This window comes from Homo sapiens, chromosome 16, assembly GCF_000001405.40.
Source record: "Homo sapiens chromosome 16, GRCh38.p14 Primary Assembly".
NCBI lineage: Eukaryota > Metazoa > Chordata > Mammalia > Primates > Hominidae > Homo > Homo sapiens.
Genome location: NC_000016.10, coordinates 7,175,318 through 7,198,308, shown reverse-complemented (window position 1 = coordinate 7,198,308; position 22,991 = coordinate 7,175,318). Strand labels below are relative to the sequence as shown.

The 22,991-nt window shown below is 39.5% G+C and overlaps 1 protein-coding gene across 30 annotated transcripts in view, besides 2 other annotated features; it reads right to left on the bottom strand.

The window, feature by feature from the left end:
* The window catches only part of RBFOX1 (RNA binding fox-1 homolog 1), a 2,473,620-nt gene that overhangs the window by 515,032 nt on the left and 1,935,597 nt on the right, over nt 1–22,991 (bottom strand). The gene's annotated exons all lie outside the window — the stretch shown is intronic.
* Nucleotides 12,432–13,631: an enhancer, noted in NCBI's record as "P300/CBP strongly-dependent group 1 enhancer chr16:7234679-7235878 (GRCh37/hg19 assembly coordinates)". NCBI's record gives its function as "activates an origin of replication core promoter dependent on BRD2, BRD4, P300/CBP, MED14 and CDK7 cofactors, with strong dependence on P300/CBP, by STARR-seq in HCT116 cells {active_cell/tissue: HCT116}" and the evidence as "EXISTENCE:reporter gene assay evidence [ECO:0000049][PMID:35650434]".
* Nucleotides 15,565–16,764: an enhancer, noted in NCBI's record as "BRD4-independent group 4 enhancer chr16:7231546-7232745 (GRCh37/hg19 assembly coordinates)". NCBI's record gives its function as "activates an origin of replication core promoter dependent on BRD2, P300/CBP, MED14 and CDK7 cofactors, and independent of BRD4, by STARR-seq in HCT116 cells {active_cell/tissue: HCT116}" and the evidence as "EXISTENCE:reporter gene assay evidence [ECO:0000049][PMID:35650434]".

The window sequence follows — 22,991 nt, the reverse complement described above, 5'->3', positions numbered from 1 at the left end:
TATTGGCCATGTGCGGTGGCTTACGCCTGTAATCCCAGGACTTTGGGAGTCCAAGGCAGGCAGATCACGACGTTAGGAGATTGAAAACATCCTGGCTAACACGGTGAAACCCCGTCTCTACTAAAAATACAAAAGATTAGCCAGCTGTGGTGGCGGGTGCCTGTAGTCCCAGCTACTTGGGAGGCTGAGGCAGGAGAATGGCGTGAACCCAGGAGGTGGAGCTTGCAGTGAGCCGAGATCGCTCCACGGCATTCCAGCCTGGGCGACAGAGCAAGACTCCGTCTCAAAAAAAAAAAAAAAAAAAAAAAAAGAAAGAAAGAAAACCACAAGGTATGAGCTGAGTGGAACGGGGGAAAAAAGAGAAAACACATGATCATTTTTCAGTTACACTCCCAATTCCTGCTCCCTTGGCAACCCCCATTCTGTTTTCTGTCTCTGTGAATTTTCCTATTCTGGATATTTCACGGAAATGGAATAACATGTGACCTTTTGTGTCTGGTTCCTTCCCTTAGCATAATGCTCTCATCTACATTGTAGCATGTATCAGTACTCCACTTATTTTTACTGTTGAATAACGTTCTACTACAGGGATATACCACATTTAGTTTATCCACACACCTGGTGATGGACAGTTGAGTTGTTTCCACCTTTTAGCTATTGTGGATAATGCTGTGATGAACATTTCTGTACACATTTTTGTTTGAGTACTTGTTTTCAATGTTACTGCAAATAAACTTCCAAGTGGAATTGCTTGGTAATGTGGTAATTTTATGTTTAACTTTTTTTAAGGCATGGCCACACAGTTTTACACTATCTGTGATAATTCTGCAGTATCACAGCTTGATGTTTTTTTTTTTTTTTTTTTTTTCCACTCACAGGTTTTTAGGCTCTCTCCCCATGACTACCTTTTAACTTAGCTTCAAAGAAAAACATCACTCCAGAAACAGAAAGAAGCTCTGGGATTCCCAAGATCAGGAGTTAAAATCGATAGCAAGCTCAGTCGCTTCCTGCTTCAACCACGACATGAAGCAATAGCTGCTCAGAGCCACAGTTTTCCTTATTCATTTTCTTCATCCCTAAAGACAACGGCTATGAAGGAGGCTTGGAAGAGCCACATCTGTACTTAGTTTCAACAGCCTGGAGAAACCAGAGAACGCTAGAATGAAGGACAGATTGGAGATGGGTAGAGAAGGAATAACTGGGAGAGATGGAACAGGAGTAATACATGTGTTCAGGTGTCTAGCACACAAGGAGCAACTGGCTGAAAGATGGCTATGGTGTGCACCTTCGAAATGGAGTCTTTTAAACTCTCCTTAAAATTACCCAGACTTGCGTGCAAAGATTAGACCACTGGATTTATATATTTCAGATAACCCAACTTCCCCTCTGCACACCACTCTAATTATATTTAGCTGTGCATATTTACCTTTGGCTCAGAATTCCATTTCCTTTTCCCTTTGCACATGCTGTCCTCTTTGCTTGAAACACCCTTCCATAAATCATCTGTGTGAAAAAATTCCCACCCATCCTCAAAAGCCTGCCCAGGCTTCCCTTCTTTCCGCAAACCTTCCAAAAACTCACTTTGCAGCATGACTCCTGACCCTCTGTACACAGATGCCTTTGCATTTTACTTATAGTTATACACACATGCCTGTCTCCTTTGCCTAACTACAAGTTCTTTGAAGGCATTGACCCTGGTTTCCTCTAAAAAATGCGAATAAAAATATTCATGGCTCAGGATTGTTGTCAGGGTGAAGTGGGTTTGTGCATTTAAAGAGCCGGTTGCACTAACCTGCACATTGTAGACGCCTCTTAAATGTTTGGGAAGCCATTGGACCTTTGGGTACCTACACTATCAGTGTTGGCAATGGTCTGAATGAAAGATGTTTCTTGATTTTGTGCTGCTAAGCAAGTCAGTGGCAAATGGGGCTGGGGAGAGGGGGAGTGAAGCAGGGTGGGTAGGAAAAGTTGAAGGAGAAATTCCCTGAGACATCTTCAGGATGAAAGGGGAGAGTGAAGATAACACAGTCGATAACAAGAACATTACATTCACCATGCACACAAGCACTAAATAAACTGAGTTAACGGAATCATTATTACCATTCTGACTATGGAACATACTGATTATTTATACTTCAAAATTATTGGGCCAAGCCTGTTCCTTTACTTCCTTTAGAAAAATGAGGAGGAGTAGGATGATGAAGAGAAAAGAGCAAACAATAATAATAACAATAATAATAATAATTAAAACTCCCTATGGGAGGCTGGGAAATATGATACTCACATTTTTTTTTTCAGACGGTGACAGCCTGGAAGAAACTCCTTAGATCTTGCCACAAATAGCAGTGTGGCAGTAGAGAATGAAAGAAAAAATCATATCACGTGGGCTAACCTTTATTCAGTGACACATTTATAAGAAATATAAACCAGGCACCTTTCTAAAATTATGAGCATCGAGCTGGGCACAGTGGTTCATGCCTGTAACCCCAGCACTTTGGGAGGCAGAGGCAGGCAGATTACCTGAGGTCAGGAGTTGAACACCAGTCTGGCCAACACGGTGAAATCCCGTTTCTACTAAAAATACAAAAATTAGCCAAGTGTGGTGGTGCAGGCCTGTAGTTCCAGCTACTCGGGAGGCTGAGGCTATCGCTTGAACCTGGGAGGTGGAGGTTGCAGTGAGTTGAGATCCCACCACTGCACTCCAGCCTGGGCAAGAGAGTTGGACTCTGTCTCAATAAATAAACAAACAAATAAATAAATACATAAATAAAGAGAGCAAGAGCAAGCATCGTAGGTCCTCAAACAGTCTTTCAAATCTGTGCTGTTGGGTCAGTTGTTCTGTTTTGCCTTGCCAATATTAGAGGACAGCCACCTGCCCAGGTCGTGTAATAATGATCACCTCCTCTCAATATGTCTTTGATACTCTTACAGTGGACAAATTTGCACACCAGGTCATTGGTGAAACTGGCTAGAAAAGACACTGCAACCAAGACTTTCACAAGAAGCCTTATTTTGCAAGCCTGTGTGATGAAATTAATTTAAGAGAATGAGGCTCAGCCAGAGACATTATCACCAAATATAAGGCTATTCTGGGAAACTCAGTCCATGAACAGAGTCCACCCCAACTCCTAATATGGCTGGTCCAACAAGAAATGCAATATGAGGCACAAAACATGGTGAAGTTGACAGACTTAAGGGTGTTGATAGACTGAAGAGCTCTTTATTAAAATTCAGAGAGTATAATTTTTTAAAGTTTTGTTGCTAGAATTAGAAGAACAATAAACAACTAATTAAGAACCAATCAATTTTATTAACCTCGATAAAATATTGAAAGGTGTTATTCAGCTGTCTTTGAATTCTTCACTTTTTTTTTTTTTTTGTGAAACAGGGTCTCATTTTGTAGCCCAAGCTGGAGTGCAGTGGCACAATCTCGGCTCACAGCAACCTCTGCCTCCCAGGCTTAAGCAATCCTCCCACCTCAGCCTCCCTAGTGGCGAGAACCACAGGCATGCACCACCACGTCCAGCTAATTTTTGTAGTTTTTGTAGAGATGAGGTTTGACTATATTCCCCAGGCTGGTCTTGCACTCCAGGGCTCAGGCAATCCACCCACCTCAACCTCTAAAATTGCTGGGATTACAGACATGAGCCACTGTGCCTGGGCTAAATTCACCACTTTCTAAATGTAATAAAACGAAGTGTTTCTGGGAAAGGGGTAGAAAACAGAATGGATTCAAAGATGGTTTCAGGCATTGAGTTTTAGTAATGAGTATCTGTTTGGTAATTTAAATGTACATTTTGAAATCTTTAGCCCCAAAGAGCTAGATTTTCCCAAACTCTAGCCGTTCCACTGCCAAAGTCACTAGACGGTCATCCTGTACCATAATCATAAATTGTCAGCTGCTTAGTATCTTTTTACATTGATGTGCTTTGTTTAAATTGAAATGCATTATTTTTAAAAGGCAACTGGATATCAGTAATGTAAATGATAAAATAACAATATCACTTATTCTGAATAAAAGGTAGCCATAAAATAAATACAGTGCAATCACAAGTTATTAAAATCTAACAACCATTACCTGTAGACACTGAGCCGGAGGCTTCCATTTTATTACTAAAAACAGAGATCACAAAGTATTAGAGAGATGTTTAAGACACTCTAGTACCAAATAAAGACTTTCTCATTGACACGAATAGGGTAATGGAAAGAGAAATGGAAAGAGAATAACTCCTTCTCCCAATAATTGATTCAATGTTATTTAATAGCATCATGTATACCCGTCTAAATCCATAATAATATGATACGGCTTATACTTGGGAAAGACTATTTTTAGCCAATCCTTAAAAAAAAAAAAGATAGCTAGAGATAGATGCTACTATATTTTCAACTGCTACTAGAATATCTTATCCTTCCAGTCAACTCTCCAAGAAGATTTTAGTCTGTCATTCTTTCATTCTTGTGACATGTCTGATCATTTTGAGTTACGTAAATACATTACCATAATATCTTCTAGGACCTGTTGTGCTAGAGTCTAGTACTAATATTCTGAGCTGTCTACCATGGTTGCTGGTGCAGAGCATGGGCTCTGTATTTCTGACTAAGCATCTGCTTTGTCACATACCAGCTCTGTGACAGCGAGCAAGTTAACATCACACTGTTGCAGTATCCTCAGTTATAAAGCAGAATACACAATGTAGTACCTGCCTCATTGGATCAAGGACGGTAATGCATGTAAAATGCTCATAAGAGCATCTGGCACGTGTAAGGACCATAAAAGCATTTGCAGTTATATTGATTACTTGCCTGTATTAGCTTGATACTGCTGCTGTAACAAAGACCTCAAACATGATGGCTTTAAACAACACAAACAACCCATCTTATAGTTCTGTAGTTCAGAAATCTGATGCAGGTCTCATCCAGCTACAATTAAGGAGTTTGTGGGGCATGTTCTTTTCTGGAGGTTCTAGGGAAGAATCTGAGTTCTTGCCTTTTCTAGACTCTAGCGGCAGCCTGCTGCTTTTGGCTCATGGCTTCCTTCCATCTTACAGACAGCAATAATGTGTTGAGTTCTTTTCAGGAAGAGCTGCTCTGATACTCTCTCTCTTCTGCCTCCCTCTTCACTTATAACAACCCTATGTAATCCTATTGGATCCATCCAGATAATCCAGGATAATGCGCCTATCTCAAGGCCAACCGATTAGCAAGCCTAACTCTACATGTAATCTTAATTTTCCTTTGCAGTGTAACCCAACATGCTCACAGGTTCCAGAGATTAAGACATGGCCATAGGTAAGGCAAGGGCATTATTTTGCCTACCACCTTGTCCAACCCAAAGATGTCTGTCGACACAAAGAGGAGGGGAAGAGATCTTTCTCTCTGCTTTTTACATTGTTCTCAGAAGAGGGTGTGAGACTGGCGAAGTAACAATGTTGTAAGCACATGATCCTCGGACTTCATCTTCCGTATTAGTGTGTTTTGTATGTTCCAATTTTACTTTTTAAAAATGTTGTATTTATTTTGAAATGCTTTTAGACTCACAGAAAGATTGCAAAAATAATATAGAGCACTCCTGGGTCTCTCACCCAGTCACTCCTAATGTTTAACATCATACTTAATCATAATACAATGATGGGTACCAGGAAATTGACGTCGAAACAATACTATGATCTAAACTGTCTATTGCATTAGTTTTTCCATTTGGCCCCCTTTTCGTGTGTCTGGATCTCCTCTATGATTTCACATAGTATTTTGCTGTTATTTGTCTTTGGTCTTCTCACAGTTGATGCTTCAGTACCTCAATATTTATTCAAAGTGAAGAGTGCTTGCTAAGTACTTTACTACATTCCACGTATTATAATCTCCATTGAAGGGACCCTTCTGGCCTCTATAGGCATTTGAGTCTAAAGCTCCTAAGCAAACACTACTAGGATTCAGAGAAGCACCCAGTTCAGCCAATTTCTCACCCCAACTCTCTTAGATGGAACCTCTCCACTGAATATGACATTTTCCCTAACGTCAGATTCACAAGGAAACTCTCTCTCCTTGCACAAAACATCAACAGGCTACCAAGAGGCTAAAACAATAAAATGCCAGTAAAACACAGGAGATTCTGAGAAATCTGGCATCAGAACTAGAACCGCTATTGCGAATTCCTTCTACTACCTACCCCCTTCCCCCACCAATTATTTTTTGCTTCTTTTTTTATCCCCCTTTCTCTGGTTTTGAAAACAGCTCGTAGAATTCTACAGACAGGGCATCAATAGATTAAAAACTGTTTCCCTCTAATAAAATGTTAAACGATGTTGAACATTAATCACCAGGGCCGTTTGTGCAGCCCTCCTTAGAGGGAGACGGCTCAGGAAATTTAATAAATTATTATCACAATGATGTTCCTATTATAGAATTTGCATTTCATTCCCAAGGCTTACATTCTGCCTCAAAGTTGCCTGGTGATGGTTAATAAAACCAAACGGACTCTTTCGCCTCAATGGTTAGAAGGCTATGCTTACAGTTGTCCACCACAGAGAATTCTTAGGGCTTCATACTCAATTATTTCAGCTTTCGCTCTAACCCCCTTCTTTAAAATTTTTGTTTCTTTAAAACAACTGAAGACAGTATTTAATCGTGAGCATGCCCTTCTGACGGAAACACGCACTGTAATGATATGCCTAGCTTAAAAGCAAATCTAATCTACTTGCTTATTAAATTTAAATGTGTTTAAGGCTGATATGGTTTGAAGATGATATGTAAAATAACAGCTTCCATGGTTATAAATGTCAACTCTAAAAATTATATGCAATATAACATACAAAATAAATGCTGCTTCATCTTTACATTCCACTGTGATCAATTCATTAAATGATGTGTTACAAGCCATGAGGACAATTGTACAACATGAGGCGCCATTTGTCACAGTGTATTGTAAAGCATCCAGGAAATATTGTAGCAATGTGCTGTTTTTTTTTTTTTCTTTTTTTGTCAGCAACGGATTATACGTCTTATTAGAAAGAGGAAAAAAAGCAACTTTCTGATGTGCCATGACTGGAATTACTTCTCCCATCAAATATTAAAGACTGAAGAAATCCATTATTAAGACAAAGTTCCATATTAAAAAATGAGAGGGGTTGAAAGGGGTTTCCTTTGGAAGAGAGCACTAACTATAAAGTATGATGGTGAAGAATTAAGATGGATTTTCCTCTGGGTTAGGAATCACAGTTTCATTATGTTCTAATGATATCACACTCACATCCAAGGGGTCCCCGAATAGGATTGATCATCTAGACACTATGTGGGGGTGGGAGACAGGCATACACTTCGCATTCCTGGGCCCCTTTTTCAAGGTTCTGATTGAGATGATTAGGGAGAAGTCCAGGAAAAAAAAAAGGTCTTTGTAAAATATGCTTCCTTCATGATTCTCTAAACAGTTAACATCCTCTGAAGAATAGTCAATCCTTGTTCATCATGTGCGTCTATGCAGATAAGCTCAACGTAACTGTTACCAAAAATGACTGAAATGGCGAATATGAGCAATGCCATAAACCCGAATTAAAAACTTGCTCTACAAACCTAGAACCATGCAAGGCCAGGAGAACACAGTGGATCTGTTTGTTGATGGAATGGCACTGATTTCTGGGGAGCTGAATTTCTGATTTCATGTGGTACTGGTTTCTGAGTAGCAATACCACTCTACCAACCCTCTATACCTCAGTACTACACCTACCCTCTTAGCAACCTCCTCTACTTTCCCTTCTAACTTAGGTCACTCTCCAGCTCATCAGATAGAGATCAGAGTATCACTCAGGAAAGAAAAAAAAAATGCCTGGATGATATGTAAAAATACCTGTTGGGAATTTGTGGAAGAGTTGGAAGCATCAATGCTTGTAAAGGCTGACAACAAAAACAATGAGGGAAGTTTTATTTTTTATTTTATATTATTTTTATTTTATTTATGTTTGAGGCGGAGTCTCTGTCACCCAGGCTGGAGTACGGTGGTGTGATCTCAGCTCACTGCAACCTCCGCCTCCTGCGTTCAAGTGATTCTCCTGCCTCAGCCTCCCGAGTCGCTGGGATTACAGGTGTGCCACCATGCCTGGGTAATTTCTGTATTTTTAGTAGAGACGGGGTTTCACCATGTTGGCAAGGCTGGTCTCGAACTCCTGACCTAGAACAATCTGCCCGCCTTGGCCTCCCAAAGTTCTGGGATTACAGGAGTGAGCCACTGTGCCCGGCCAAGATTTTTATTTTAAATTTAACTGTGCTAGCCCTGCCAGTAAATCATGGTTTTCCATTTCTTATTGGTCTTCTAATAAGTCTTGGGATTTTGTCATTGCTCAATGAAGAACTCTACATTTGCATCACTAATTGATGTCTTGCCCAAGCTCTTCTATTTCAATTAGGAGAATGATCTGTTTTTCTTATGGATGTGAGTTGGGCCTATTGCAGACATAAAGGCGATCAAGATGTACAATGGTGAACAGATTCTTCCAGAAAGCTGGAGGAAAGAAAGAAAACTTACTTGCTGGATGCATAGGGAAAGTTATAGAAGGGATTGCCTGCAGGTGTCTGTGGGAACCACGGGAACTGCTGACCTAGACCCCATCAGTAATTTATAACCTATGGTACCTTTTTCCCAGTGGTAGGCTAGTTTACAAATGAAGGGAAAATGAGATACAGATAATTATGCTGCATAGAGTGGCTTATGTGCTCTATTTTGTGTGTGTATGTGTGTGTGTGTGTGTGTGTGTGTGTGTGTGTTTTGGGGGACATAGTGTTTTGGAGTGGGGGCAATGTATTCTAAACTGGAGAGAATACCTGAATCAGTGTGGGTCTCCCTATGAGGATTCTATCCATTGAGGATTCCTTTTTTTTTTTTTTTTTTTTTTTGAGAGGGAGTCTCGCTCTGTCGCCCAGGCTGGAGTGCAGTGGCGCGATCTCAGCTCACTGCAAGCTCCACCTCCCGGGTTCACACCATTCTCCTGCCTCAGCCTCCTGAGTAGCTGTGACTTCAGGCGCCCGCCACCACGCCCGGCTAATTTTTTTGTATTTTTAGTAGAGATGGGGTTTCACTGTGTTAGCCAGGATGGTCTCGATCGCCTGACCTCATGATCTACCTACGTCGGCCTCCCAAAGTGCTGGGATTACAGGCATGAGCCACCGTGCCCAGCCCTGAGGATTCCTTTCTAGAAATCACTCCTTATTACCTGAATCAGTGTAGGTCTTCCTATGAGGATTCTATCCATTGAGAATTCCTTTTCGAGAAATCACTCCGTATCACCTCCAAATGCCTTAAGGTCTTGACTTGCCTCTAGCCTGATGTTCTTGAACCAACCCTTCCTTGAGTGGTTTATCAAGCTACCCAGGCTGCAATTATAGTCTTCATGGTGTCAAAGAACTTTCCCCAATCCTTAGCTGTCTGTATCCTCTGTTCCTTAAACCTTTTTCTTGATGTCCTTTCCAACTCCAAAATTTGCATTTTTAACAGCCAACTCAATGTCATTCTTTGGTTCCTTCGTAGCATGCCCTATACCAGCTCTTGCGGTCTTACTTTTGACAATTACAAGGCAAATCTGTATCTGAATCTCCAAATATATGGTAGAAATGAAGACTGCAGCAGAATAAATGAAACCTGCTGCAGGACATGTTCAACTCAGGATAATGATACTGGACTGGTATAATGAGTCAATGCTTATTGGAAAAGTCTGCAGCATAAACCACTCTTAATTGCTTAGAGTATAAAATAGCATTCAGGGAACGAGGTGGGTGATGGGGAGAAAAGGTGCAGACACCCACACACACAGCAAAACATTTCCTTTCTGCATAACTTCAGTTAGGGTCCATATTAGACCTCTGTAACATGCAGCTAAAAGCTTCCTCTAAATAGCATTTTGAAACTAACTGCAATGCAAATTTTAACTCTAGGTTTTTCATAAAACCCCATTCAGAAAATATCAGAACATTCTAATGCAGGACTTAGATAGCCAAAGGAAATATAGGAAGATGTACAACAGTTTCTTCATTTTAACTTAAAGCACTTATGTTAACTTTTCCATCTCTGCAGCCATGGACTATTTCAAGAAGCCTATGCAGAATGCACACAGGCTCAGGGAGTGTTTCATTCCATCGTATTTATACCTCTGGTTTTCTTTCCAGTTAGATAATACACCTCTTGCTGAGTTGGCTGATCTTCCAAAATTGTTAAACACAATTACCAAATATTCCACATTGCATGCAAAAAATGTGAGAAACAGAGAAAAGTTAAAATGAAATAAAAATGGCCTATAATCTCACTATCTAGAGATAACTATGGCTAGCACACAGTCAGATACATTCTCGAGATTTGTTCTCTCTGTGAGTTGATTCTTAAAGTGCTGTGATTTGACCCATGCGGTCATGGAAACCACTTTGTTCACTTGACAATACATGGTGAACATTTTCCAATATGACCGCCATAAATTAGGCAATTTTCTATGTCAGAAATTTAGGTTGTTTCTAATTTCTCACCATTAAGAAAAATGCTGATGAATATTATTTTACAGAGAGCGATTTTTGTTTCTAAGATTTTAAAAGCGCTTCTTTTCTTTTCCTTTTTTTTTTTTTTTTTTTTTTTTTTTTTTTTTTTGTGAGACAGAGTCTCATTCTGTTGCCCAGGCTGGACTGCAGTGGCACGATCTCGGCTCACTGCAAGCTCTGCCTCCCGGGTTCACACCATTCTCCTGCCTCAACCTCCCGAGTAGGTGGGACTACAGGCGCCCGCCACCACGCCTGGCTAATTTTTTGTATTTTTAGTAGAGATGGGGTTTCACTGTGTTAGCCAGGATGGTCTCGATCTCCTGATCTCGTGATTAGCCCGCCTTGGCCTCTCAAAGTGCTGGGATTACAGGCGTGAGCCACCGTGCCTGGCCAAGGGCTTTCTTATAGTATCATATTATGTATATACTTCTTTGTAAGACTTCACACAATTTTTTAAGTGATCGATAATCTCTCAGAAGGATTAAGGAAGGACAGATGCACTTTAAGAAAAAATTACTTTAATTATTTATATCCTGTGTTATGCTACTTGTTCCTACTCTTCTTACATATGATTTCAGTACTTCAAAATGACTAGAGAGCTACATTTTATTTATTTTTTTATTTATTTTTTGAGACAGAGTATCACTCCATCGCCCAAGCTGGAGTGCAGTGGCACCATCATGGCTCACTGCAGCCCTGACCTCATGAGGCTAAAGTGGTCCTCCTACCTCAACCTCCCAAGTAGCTGGGACCACATCACCATGTCCAGCTAATTTCTGAATTTTTTTTTTTTTTTTTTTTTTTTGTGGAGGTGGGGTTTCCTCATGTTGCCCAGGCTGGTCTCAAACTCCCAGTCTCAAGCAATTTGCCTGCCTCAGTTTCCCAAAGTGCTGAAATTACAAGTGTGAGCCACTGTGCCTGGCCTAGAGAGCTATATTTTAAAAATAAGTCATAAAGAATATTGTTCAAAACACTGAATACATTTTAATACAGACTGGATACTTGATGGCAGGATAGATTTAAGTTAATGCTGTTAGTTATAATAATGTCATTGCTTCATATAGAATCTCTAAGGACACAAAGATTCCTAGATACCATGAAACTTATATTTAAAGACGTAAGTATGTATATAAATATACATAAATATAAATGTGTATATAAATATTATATTTATATAAATATGTTTATGCTTATATTTATATAAATATGTTTAAGCTTATATTTATATAAATATGTTTAAGCTTATATTTATATAAATATGTTTATGCTTATATTTATATAAATATGTTTATGCTTATATTTATATAAATATGTTTATGCTTATATTTATATAAATATGTTTATGTTTATATTTATATAAATATGTTTATGTTTATATTTATATAAATATGTTTATGTTTATATTTATATAAATATGTTTATGTTTATATTTATATAAATATGTTTATGTTTATATTTATATAAATATGTTTATGTTTATATTTATATAAATATGTTTATGTTTATATTTATATAAATATGTTTATGTTTATGTTTATATAAATATGTTTATGTTTATATAAATATGTTTATGTTTATATAAATATTTATATACACATTTATATTTATGTATATTTATATACATATTTATGTCATTAGAGATAAGTATCATGATATCTAGGAATCTCCTTTACAATGGTTGTACATATCTGTGCAATTAAATACCAGTGACAAATAAAGAATATCCTTCAAAATAGTAGCATTCATGTTTCCCAGGGTTAGCAAATATCGCTGAACCTGTCTGTGTGCCTTTGATCTATACTAAAGTGCGCCAATAAACATAGGAACTAATGGCTGAGACATACTTCAGAGGACGGGGAGAAAGGGTCAGGAAGTGAGTCACCAGTGGGAATTGTATCATTGCTCAAGAATGGGTTGGGTTTGTTGTTATCTAGGGATAAAATGCCATGGAATCCAAATCACTCTTGTTCATCAAGTACCTGAGAGTCTGACTGATGCTCAGATCTTCATATGCCAGTGTAAAGACTTTACAGTTTCAGAAGGAATTCAATATCTCGACATTTATGTGCCTCATTTACCACTTTCAGTGGTAGCAAAAAAGAGTGCCTTTGAAGATAAACCGCATAACTAGGCCTATCTCCGCAAACTAAATTGATTTATGATTCTGACACACAAATATTAGTCCAGATGTTTCTCAAAGTGTAATAAAAGTGGCAGGGTTTCTTGAAAACCACTGTATCCCATCTGGCCAAGAATGTGTGTGTCCACAAAGGTGATCCATGTTATCATAAGAATTATTAGGATGCAATATCACTGGAGGCACTAGACCCAGATAGCTCTAATCTAGTCTTACCATTTGCAGACAAAACCATGGCGTCCAATGGCCCTCCATGTAATCCATCTCTGTCAAATGCATTAAGGAAATTGCCTGTCAGAAACATCATGGCTGAGATTCTGTGATTAAACACAAACCGTGAAAATGCTCCAGGGTACAGTAGAATCATTAGGGAAAAAAAAATACGTGCAAACACCTCCTTCAATTTGCTTTCTTTAGAATTAATTCTGTGGTCATAAGTGACTGAAATCTGCAGAGAGAGAGAGAGAGGTATAATGTGAAATTTATCAAGCACTTATTCTGCGGTTGACACTTTGCAAAGTGCTCCCATATGCTCTTCCATAATACCCCACTGTTAGGTGGTTTAAATAGATATATTGTATGGACATTCCTCCATGTACTTACTGCACAATTTCAAGTATGTTATTTAATCTAAGGATCAATTTCCTTATTGGCAAAGTGGGGCTATCCTATGCATATTGTATGTTTACTGTAATGCTTGAGAGAGGTAACATATGTAAAGTATCAAACGTACTTTGGGCACCAAGTAAGCATTATTATGGTTAATATTACCCATGTGTAAACATTATTAATAGTGTTAGTAACACTTCAACACACAAACACACCTAAAGGGCAAGGATCTCCTCTAAAGTTCTGAGTTGATACATAGAGGCACAAACATTCAGAACTAAGGTTTCTGACTTGAAAAGCTCAAGTTCTACCTGTAACTCCACATTGCCCCAAATTTTTAGAGAAGTTTCACAAGAGCTCATAATCAGGTTTGGGGGTTTGTAACTGTTTAGGTATACCCATGTGATCAAGCATGGTATACTGTGACTGCTCTAGAATTCCAACTTGCCATACTGTTTGCTAAACAGACAAGACTAAGGATTGTCACAAAGGCACAGCCAATATGTCATACTTCAATCACTTGGCTAACTTTTGACCATGAGACAGGGCTGCAAATAACTATGTCAGAGGAGGTAAAAACATGCATGCAATGCAGATGAACAGACACCCTGGGTCATGAGGTGTTTGTGGATATGCTATAACCACCATCATGTATCCCCTAGACTTCTACTAAAACCTCTTGCACTTGCATCTGTTTTTTTCTCTCTTCAGCTAAGGAACAGAGTACACTGTCATTTGGATGATGTCTTCCCTCTAAGGTCATTCCACAGCTTCCTATTGTCCTAAAACTAAAATTCAACCCCCTTGCTATAAGCAAAGAAGTCCTCCTTGATCTGCCTCTCCACTTCCTTCTCTCCACTTGTTCACGGAGCTAATTCCAGCCCTGTGCTACTCTTTTTATGATCTTCAAATACACAAAGCCCTTTCCTGTCAGTGATTTTACACACATCTTTGTGCTGCCAGGCTCTTCTCACCAATCCTGCCTTCTTCTCCACCACCACTTTCCTGGGCTTTAGGCCACCTCCAGCCATCTGCATCGCCCCTCATCATTTCAGTTCACATCATCCTATTTCAGTTCTTTAATGACGTCATCATTGCAGTCTGAAATTTTAGCCTCTCTTTATTGGTTTATTAATTCCCATCTATCCCCTTTAAACTACTCCCTCAATTAGAATGGTGGTTCCATGAGGGCAGAGACCTGATACGAATGGTACCTAAAACCACACCTGACAATAGGAGGCATTAAATAGCTCCTTGCTGAACCACACTGAAAGGAGATGAAATGTCCTCCTAAGCTTTATCAATTTTGTTCTGACAGTAAGCCTAAGAACTAGCTTGTGTTCAGTGTGAGTCAACTCTTCCTAAATTTCTGCCTGAAGATATCATCTGGTTCTGTATTCTCATACATGTTCCTGCTTCGGGACCCTAAGAGATTATTAATGCAGGCTTCTGAAAGCCTGGAAAAAAAATACACACATGTGCAAGCACACTTAAGCACACACATTTATTCAGAACTATTGACAAAGTAAAGAAAAAATAGATAAAGCATCTCTTATAGCTAAAATTTGGATGAACCCAACGAAGGTTTCACTATTTAATAACAATAGAGAAATAAAACACTTTCGTTCAGGATACTTTCATGGTGCCCACTGGCCTCAAGTGCTGGTAAAGATTTTCAGGTAGAAAAAAATTACCTCTGTTTCTTCTGTCAAATTTGAGATCAACCCCTACCCTCACTACCCTCTGTAAATTGACAAGCACGATACACTTGTCATTGGGGAATATGTTTTCGTGATTCACCATGGCTTCTTTTTCTCCCCAAATCAAGTACACCTCCCTTCAGACACAGGCAGCCAGGAGAAGTGGCTGTTCTATCTGACTCAACCCACTCTGCCTCAACTAATAAAAAGAGGGTTGAATACTGATCCCAGCTGGGGCAATTCAATTCTCTCTCCTAGGAAATTGGCAGTTAGGGGATCATTCGCTTACTTATACATGTGTTTAAGCAAAAATATTGTTGTGTGCCCATTATGTGTCAGGCATTGTTCTAAATAAGGCTTAGCTCTCAGGAAGCTTAGATTCCAGTGTGGGAAGGTGCATATGATAAACAAGCAACAAAGAAAATAAGATAATTTATGACCAGGGCATGTAATTGTTGTGAACAGGGAAGATCTTTGGAAGACATAGAAGTTGAGCTAAAATGCAATTGCCATAAAAAACTCAGGAATGTGGAGATTAAGGGAAGGCATTTCTAAGGGATTTAGTACAAAGTGCTAAGTCAGGGGTGAGGCAAATCTGATGGGCTCCATTTCCAAAGAGAAATGAAAGAGATGCTGTCCAGGGTGCTGATCCCTTTCCTGGTCTTTGCTTCATCGTACTTCCTGCCGCTCTTCCTCCTCTGGAATCCTCTGGAATCTATGGAATATTTTAAAGCTAAATTTTCCCTTTTTGCTTAACTGAGTCTAAACTGGGTTTCTGTTCTTTGCAACAGGATGTATTAGGACTATCCCTTGTTTCCATATTTCTATAACAACAGTTCACCATAAAATATCTAGAAAATGGTAAAAACAAGGAAAACAAGAACAGACAACAGAAATTCAGCTGCTGCTGCTGCTAAGAACTTTCGAGCCAAGAACATGAACGAATTCATCAGGCTTCAATGTGAGGACATTTCATGAAGAGAGGGGGCTTCAGGAAGAATGGAAGATGCTTTTTACTTTTTGGTCTTTTTTTTTGCAGGGGGGCAGGTGACTCTCGGAATTCAACCTCACATCCCTATAGAGGAGCATCACTGTTTACAAAGCGAAGGTAAACTAGCAACCCTGTAACAACTTCATGTAGCTTATAATCTGAAAAAATCTCCAAAGTCTCTGACCCTAAAAGGTAACTAGGTCAAAGATACCTAATAGGTTTCATTTTATGAGACAACTACGAATCACTGACAATGACTAAAGAACTGTCATGAACAAGCTTCTGAAGACTCATTCAGTTTATCAGTGAAGATTATTATCTTTCAGTGATTTGTGTCATGTATATTAGATTGGTGGAATCAGTGGTATGCTTGTTATTCACTATCTCTGTTACAAAGAAATTAACCCTTTTCCTTCCTGTATTTCGACGGCTGAGTTTTTTTTCCGTAGAAATTACGTAAGAACCACTTCACATATGGTGACTCAGAAAGCTCTCCTCTGGGGCCCGGGTATGGTGTCTCACACCTTTAATCCTAGCACTTTGGGAGGCTGAGATGGGCAGATCGCTTGAGCTCAGGAGTCTGAGACCAGCCTGGGTAACATGGCAAGACTGTGTCTCTACCAAAAATACAAAAACCTAGCCAGGCATCGTGCATACCTGTAGTCCCAGCTACTCGGGAGGCTGAGGCACACGAATCGCTTGGACCTGGGAGGCAGAGGTTGCAGTGAGCCAAGATCGCACCACTGCACTCCAGCCTGGGCAACAGAGCAAGCAAGCAAGCGAGAAAGAGAGGAAGAGAGAAAGAGAGATGAGAGAAAGAGAGAGAGAGCAAGGGAGGGAAGAGGGAGGGAGGGAAGAAGGAAGGAAGGAATTTAGTTAATTCTCTTTTAGGTAGTACTTTTCTACTACTAGCCTTACCAAAATGTAAAAGCACCCTAAAAATCTCAGGGACCCCTAATTAACTCTTACCACTTGTTAACAAAAATATTACAAGGTAGGGAAAAGTAGAACCAAAGGGGTTTGGAGAGGGCAGAGAAGGATGACATGGAATTTCTTTTACTGAATCCAGTACTTCATTCATTCAGTTCTGGTACTCCTTCAGTTCTCATGACCATGCTCATCGGGGCATAGCAGTTTCCCTATTTAACATCTAGAGAGATTGTGACTACGCAAGGTTCAAAGAAGTCTTTGAACCACAAGGCCGTCCACCTGGCACATGACAAGGAAGGATTGAAAGCCTATCTCCAAATCCCTGGTCATTCCTTGATAGCAGGGGGTCAGTAAGCCATGGCCTGTGGACCAAATCAGCCTCGCTGACTGTGGTTAAAAACATTTACTGCAATGCCGCAACATTCCATTGCTTTTGCATTGCCTATGACTGCTTTTTCTCTACAACTGCAAAGCTGAGTAGTTGTGACACAGACCGTATGGTCCACCACCCTACAATATTTATTATCTGACCCTCTGCAGGAAAAGTTTGCCAACCAAATACTTTGTGGCAATGTCATGAGCTTTAAGCATAAAATCCTAAATCTGACACATGTGTCTTTTTAACCTTGATGCTTAAAATAAACTTTCCCTGTGGTAATATTTTGCCTAAATATTTTCACCTTGAAGCCAATGTTCTGGCAGGTTTTTTTTTTTTTTTCATCATAATAACTTACAGTAGAAATGGAGCAGGGGAGTGCAGAGGAAGCTAATTTTCCCCAAGTAAATCTTTTGCAATCCTTTCTAACACCATAGGCAACCATCTCACCTTTTACAGAAAAGGGAAGAAAACAGTGTTACTATCCTTAATGTCACCTCATTTATCAGCCCATAAAGCACTACCCAATAAAATCAAAGGACCCTACCAGATAAATGAATACTAGTGCATAAACGTGGTGTAGACTTTCTGAAAACACGTCTGTAGAATGTAGGGCTTCACCTTGCCCGGCATCTGATGACAAGAGTGACCCATGATTAGGAGTCAGACTTCCAGAGATGCTGTCCCTTTCTTGTGTGTGGTATCTGTAACTGAACTTCTCTTAGCCTCAGTTTTCTATCTGAAAAATGGGAATAATTATAGCACCCTCCCTAGAGCATTACATAAGGACATAAAGAGTTAATATATGTAAAACGCATTTAAAAATTATCTGAAATACAGTAAATGCTATATAAAAATTGCTACTGTTCTTTGGATATTATTATATTATAATAATAGTTCTGCAAGGCAGAAAATGGCTAACACACTATTCACCATGGATATCAGGGCTGCTGTGGACAAAAGAAGAAATATTTTCTCTGAGAAAAGCAGGCTCTGTTCAAAATATCTAGGAAGGTCTGGACTCAGTGGCTCAAGCCTATATTTCCAGCACTTTGGGGGTCTAAGGCGGGCAGATCACTTGAGGTCAGGAGTTCTAGATCTGCCTGGCAAACATGGCGAAACCCCATCTCTACTAAAAAAAAAAAAATACAAAAATTAGCTGGACGTGGTGGCAGATGTCTGTTATCCCAGCTATTCAGGAGGCTGAGGCAGGAGAATCGCTTGAACCTGGGAGGAGTAGGTTGCAGTGAGCCGAGATCATGCCACTGCATTCCAGACTGAGTGACAGAGCAAGACTCCATCTCAAACAAAAAGAAAAAAAAATCTGGGAAGATGGTGAATTTCTTTTTAAAGAGTTCTATATACAAATGAAGGACAATGCATCTCAAATAAATTCATTGTGTTGCTGTTGGAATCTCCCCCTATGTGGTCAGCTTCCTAATTTAATATATAAAAAAAAAAGGAAACCATGTGTCCACGTTAAATTTAAAATGTCTGACAAAATGGAAATGCCAACACCTAACAGGTCTAACAGCAAACATAATTAATTGGTCTGCAGCCTGGCAAATCCTCTCACAGATTTTGGTGAACCGTAAATCAGTTCAAGAGGAGGCCAGACAAATTGTGGAGATTGGACACATCATTGAGAGAGATGGAAGGCAGAGAAAATTATTCCCCAAAGGGATTTTTAGAATTATGTTCTCTTAGGTAAGGGGTAAGGGGAAAGCGGTGCTTTGAGAATGTTTGAACACAGAATCTCTTGACACTTCCAATGGACATGAACTCTGAAAGCAAGGATAACTTAAGTATTTTCTTTTTGGAAAAAAAAAAAAAATCCCGGTTAAGCATCCTTCCATATAGATAAAAATTTGTTGTTTTATCCCAACCTCCTACCCCCAAATGCACCAAAAAATATTAACCCCTCCGGATGCCTCGAGTAATCTGGGATCTGACCAAAACGAAGTTGAACTTTGTACATTAATTATGCATCAGATTAAAGAAATAGCCATAAAAATAAAAGCAGAACTATTCTTCCTACTGCAGCTTTATTAGTTTATCACCCGCCATATGCACTGCCACCGAAAATTATAATGGGCCAGCAGTGTTAACCATAAACAGAGAGAGACTTCACTATTATTTACGATCTTGTTAACCAAATCAGTAAAACCAACCAAACTGGATCAGTACAGGAAGTAAAGAAGTATGAAGTATGTTCCTTATACATAACTTGCAGAATAACAGGTGTGAAACCCGATGTCTCACCTGTGATCAAAGCACATTTGGTCAGTATAATGTGCTTGACTTTTTAGGACAGCAATACATCTGAGGTCCGGCATGTGATTAACAAAACTGATAATGACTTTTACCATCAAGTAGAAGAGTATAATAAAGTAAAAGGTGCCTGACCCCAGGTCTAAAGAGTAGTTTCCTTTCAGATTTCACTTATGTAGATAACTGGTTAAATTCTGGTGATGGAAACAGAAATATACCCATAAATACCATGCAGATAGGTTCTTTGCCATGCACACATCACATTGTTTAGTAATGATTATCAGTCAATCGATACATCAATTGAATCAATTTATGAACGAATAAAAAAAATTTAGTGTTTACCCATATCCAATTTCTCTCTCCTCCTGCGAACTTGGGAAGATTGTGTTTGCCATGTCCTTGCAAGTAGCTATGCCCAAATTGTTAGTGACCCAGTCATTTAATTACCATTGGAAGACCTTCTCCTCTTGGTTTTTCTCAGTGACGTCAATCAAGAAGGCTGTGTGTTGCAGAAACTAAAGCGACAGGCTGATAGTGCCTCTGACAAATTGAATCACTAGGTCACTGTGTGGAGGAAAGTTTCCCTAGAGATGCCCATGGTGGGCTTTGCATGAGCAAGGAATAAACATGTTTTTTGTTTGTTGTTGTTGTTGCTGCTGCTGCTGTCACTGACATCCTGGGGGTTATTTGTAACAGCAGCATATCCTGACACATACTGACTTTCTGCATCTGTACAACAGTACAAGTGTACATGGCTGGCCTTTACTCTCAGAGATTCTGAATCAATAGGTCAGAAGAAAGGAACCAGAGCGTGAGCATGTTGTGTCTGCTCTCCAGTTGATCTTCTGAGCACACCTACAAAAGGAAAAACTACACTAGAACAGAAGCTGGTAAACCACAACCCACAGGCCAAATCCTGTCTGCTTTTGTAACTAAAGTTTTATCGGAATACAGCCATGCTCATTCATTTATGCATTGTCCACAGGGGCTTTTGTGCTACAACAGAAGAGTTGAGGAGTTGCAGCGGAGACCAAAAGACCTGCAAAATCTAAAATATTTATGACCTGGCTCCTCACAGAAGAGATTTGCTGACCCCTGTCCTAGAATTTTGTGGAAGTGCCCTACCTCCTGGTTCAATCTAGTTAATAATGCAATTTGCTCAGATAGGAGCTGTCACAGCAAGCAACCTGTTCTACAAAGGTAGTGCCTGTGAAAACACACCTGAAAATAAGACACAAGGTAGAAAACCATATAAAGCATCCCTGATCTACTTCTTTTTGTATTCTTTTTTTTTTTTATTGATACATACTATCTGTACCCATTTACAGTGTGCTTGTGGTATTTTGTTACATGCATAGAATGTTTAAGGATCAAGTCAGGGTATTTACACTACCCATCACCTCCAGCATTTATCATTCCTCTGTGTTGGAAACTCTACTTGTTCCTTGCATCCTCAGCTCTTGAGGCCTTCAGGGCTTTTTGTTTGTTTGCTTGTAGAACTGACACTTTTGAACTTGGTCTTATCCATGGACAATCAAGCTAGATAAGGAGCACAAATTTCCCCTTTGATTGGAAGCGGTTGTATTGTCGCTATTCTCCATGTGGGGAAAACTACTCCTGGACAAAAATGCATGCCAGTCAGCAAAGTGTCGTGTTCTTTGCACAGTTCTACAATACTAAATGGAGTTGTCTCCGAACCAGCTTTTTATGACAGGCAATGTCTGAATTTATTTGCAACCTGGGGTGGTTCCTGAATTTTGTGCTCAATGAGACTTCATGGGGTAGTGAGTTTTTATTTTTCTATTGAAAACTACCTTGTAAATGAATTACTAAAGCGATACTATAAAATTCTATTCTGAGATTAGAGGCATTTAAATGGGAAATATCTAAAAAATTTTCCTCTCCCCCCATTCCTGCTTTCTCTCTGTCTTACATTTCTGTATTTTTTTCTTTACATTTATTACCACAGATGTTTTGTGCATATGTGTATAGGTAAGTACATATTTATTTATATGTGTCGTGTCTGTCTTACCTTGACTATAATAAAAGTAGGAATATCACCTTATTGTGTTCATTGTTTCATTCTCAATACCTAGAACAAGGATCGGAAACCTTTTCCAGTAAAGGGGCAAACATTAAATATTTCAGGCTTTGCCACCCATATAGTTTCTGTCACTAATCATCTGTGTCGTTGTAGCACAAACACAGCCATAATCGATATGCAAATGAAGGGGTGTGGCTGTGTTCCACTATAACTGTATTTACAAAAACAAGAGGAGAGCTGGATTTTTCCCGAGAGGTATAGTTTACTGACATAATAGATACCTCGTACACATAATAGATACCTCGTACATATCTATTATATAAATGAATATCTTAACTGTGTGTGGTCAAATTATAGTCACAAAGTACACTCTATATGCCAGGCATTCTTCCCAGTGCCAAAGATGTAAAATCAAATATAACATAAAAACGATAAAAGCTAAAGAAATGCAAAATGGTGCTAAGCACTTACATGCATTATCTCATGTAATCCTATCCATGATTTTAAGAACCAAGAATTATTATTAATCTCATTTTACAGTTTCATTAACCAAAGCTAACACAGTTAAGGAGCCTGTCCAAAATCACACACCTAGCATGTAGCACCGGGATTCCAATAAAAAAAATTTGATTAAAAGTACATGCTCCTAACCACACCAGCGGTCTGTGAGTGGAGACTGCTATTGGCTGAGGTCCATCTTGGTTACATGTCAAAATGAACTGACACTCACATCGGATGGCTGCTAAGCACGCACCTCCCAGATACTTAAGTTTCTGCATTTACAGCTTTCCAGGTTTAAAAGTCTGTGCAGCAGAGGAATTGGTGTCTGTTTCTTTGGGCCTTTATATGCTCAGAGGGCTAATATAAGAACCTGGAGTCCTTTCAACTCCTCTAAAGAGTGACCTTTTCCTAGATTACTGCAACCCAGCTGAGAAACATGTGCAGAGACTTGCTTTACTCTGAGAAGGAGAGAGGAAGACATTTTATCAAAAAAATGAAAGAAATAATACCAACTACTGCGTGGCTGGAAGAGGTAACCTCGGGAAGCTTGAACTGACAGGGTAACACGTGGCTTTCAAGCTGCACACTGGAGGCACACAGCTGTTGGGGTGAGATAATGGATCCAAACCCTACCTTTCAAAGTGTGCCTTATGCACAAATGGGATCCTTTGCCTATGAGCCCTATGTGCCTACCTGTGGCATGTTCACACAACCAGCCCATAGGCTCAATGAGTATGACCAGGCAGCGAAAGTCTCAGCTCCCTGTCACACATTTCTGAATCCACGTTAAAGGGGGAGGAGCTCTTTCTCCCACTTCAGGCCCCTGCCCATGCCTTTGCTGACTTATAAGGGAAAGGAAATTATAGGTAGTAATGTAAGATTCCTCAAGATTCACTGAGACCCATTTCACAGGCGAAGAAGGT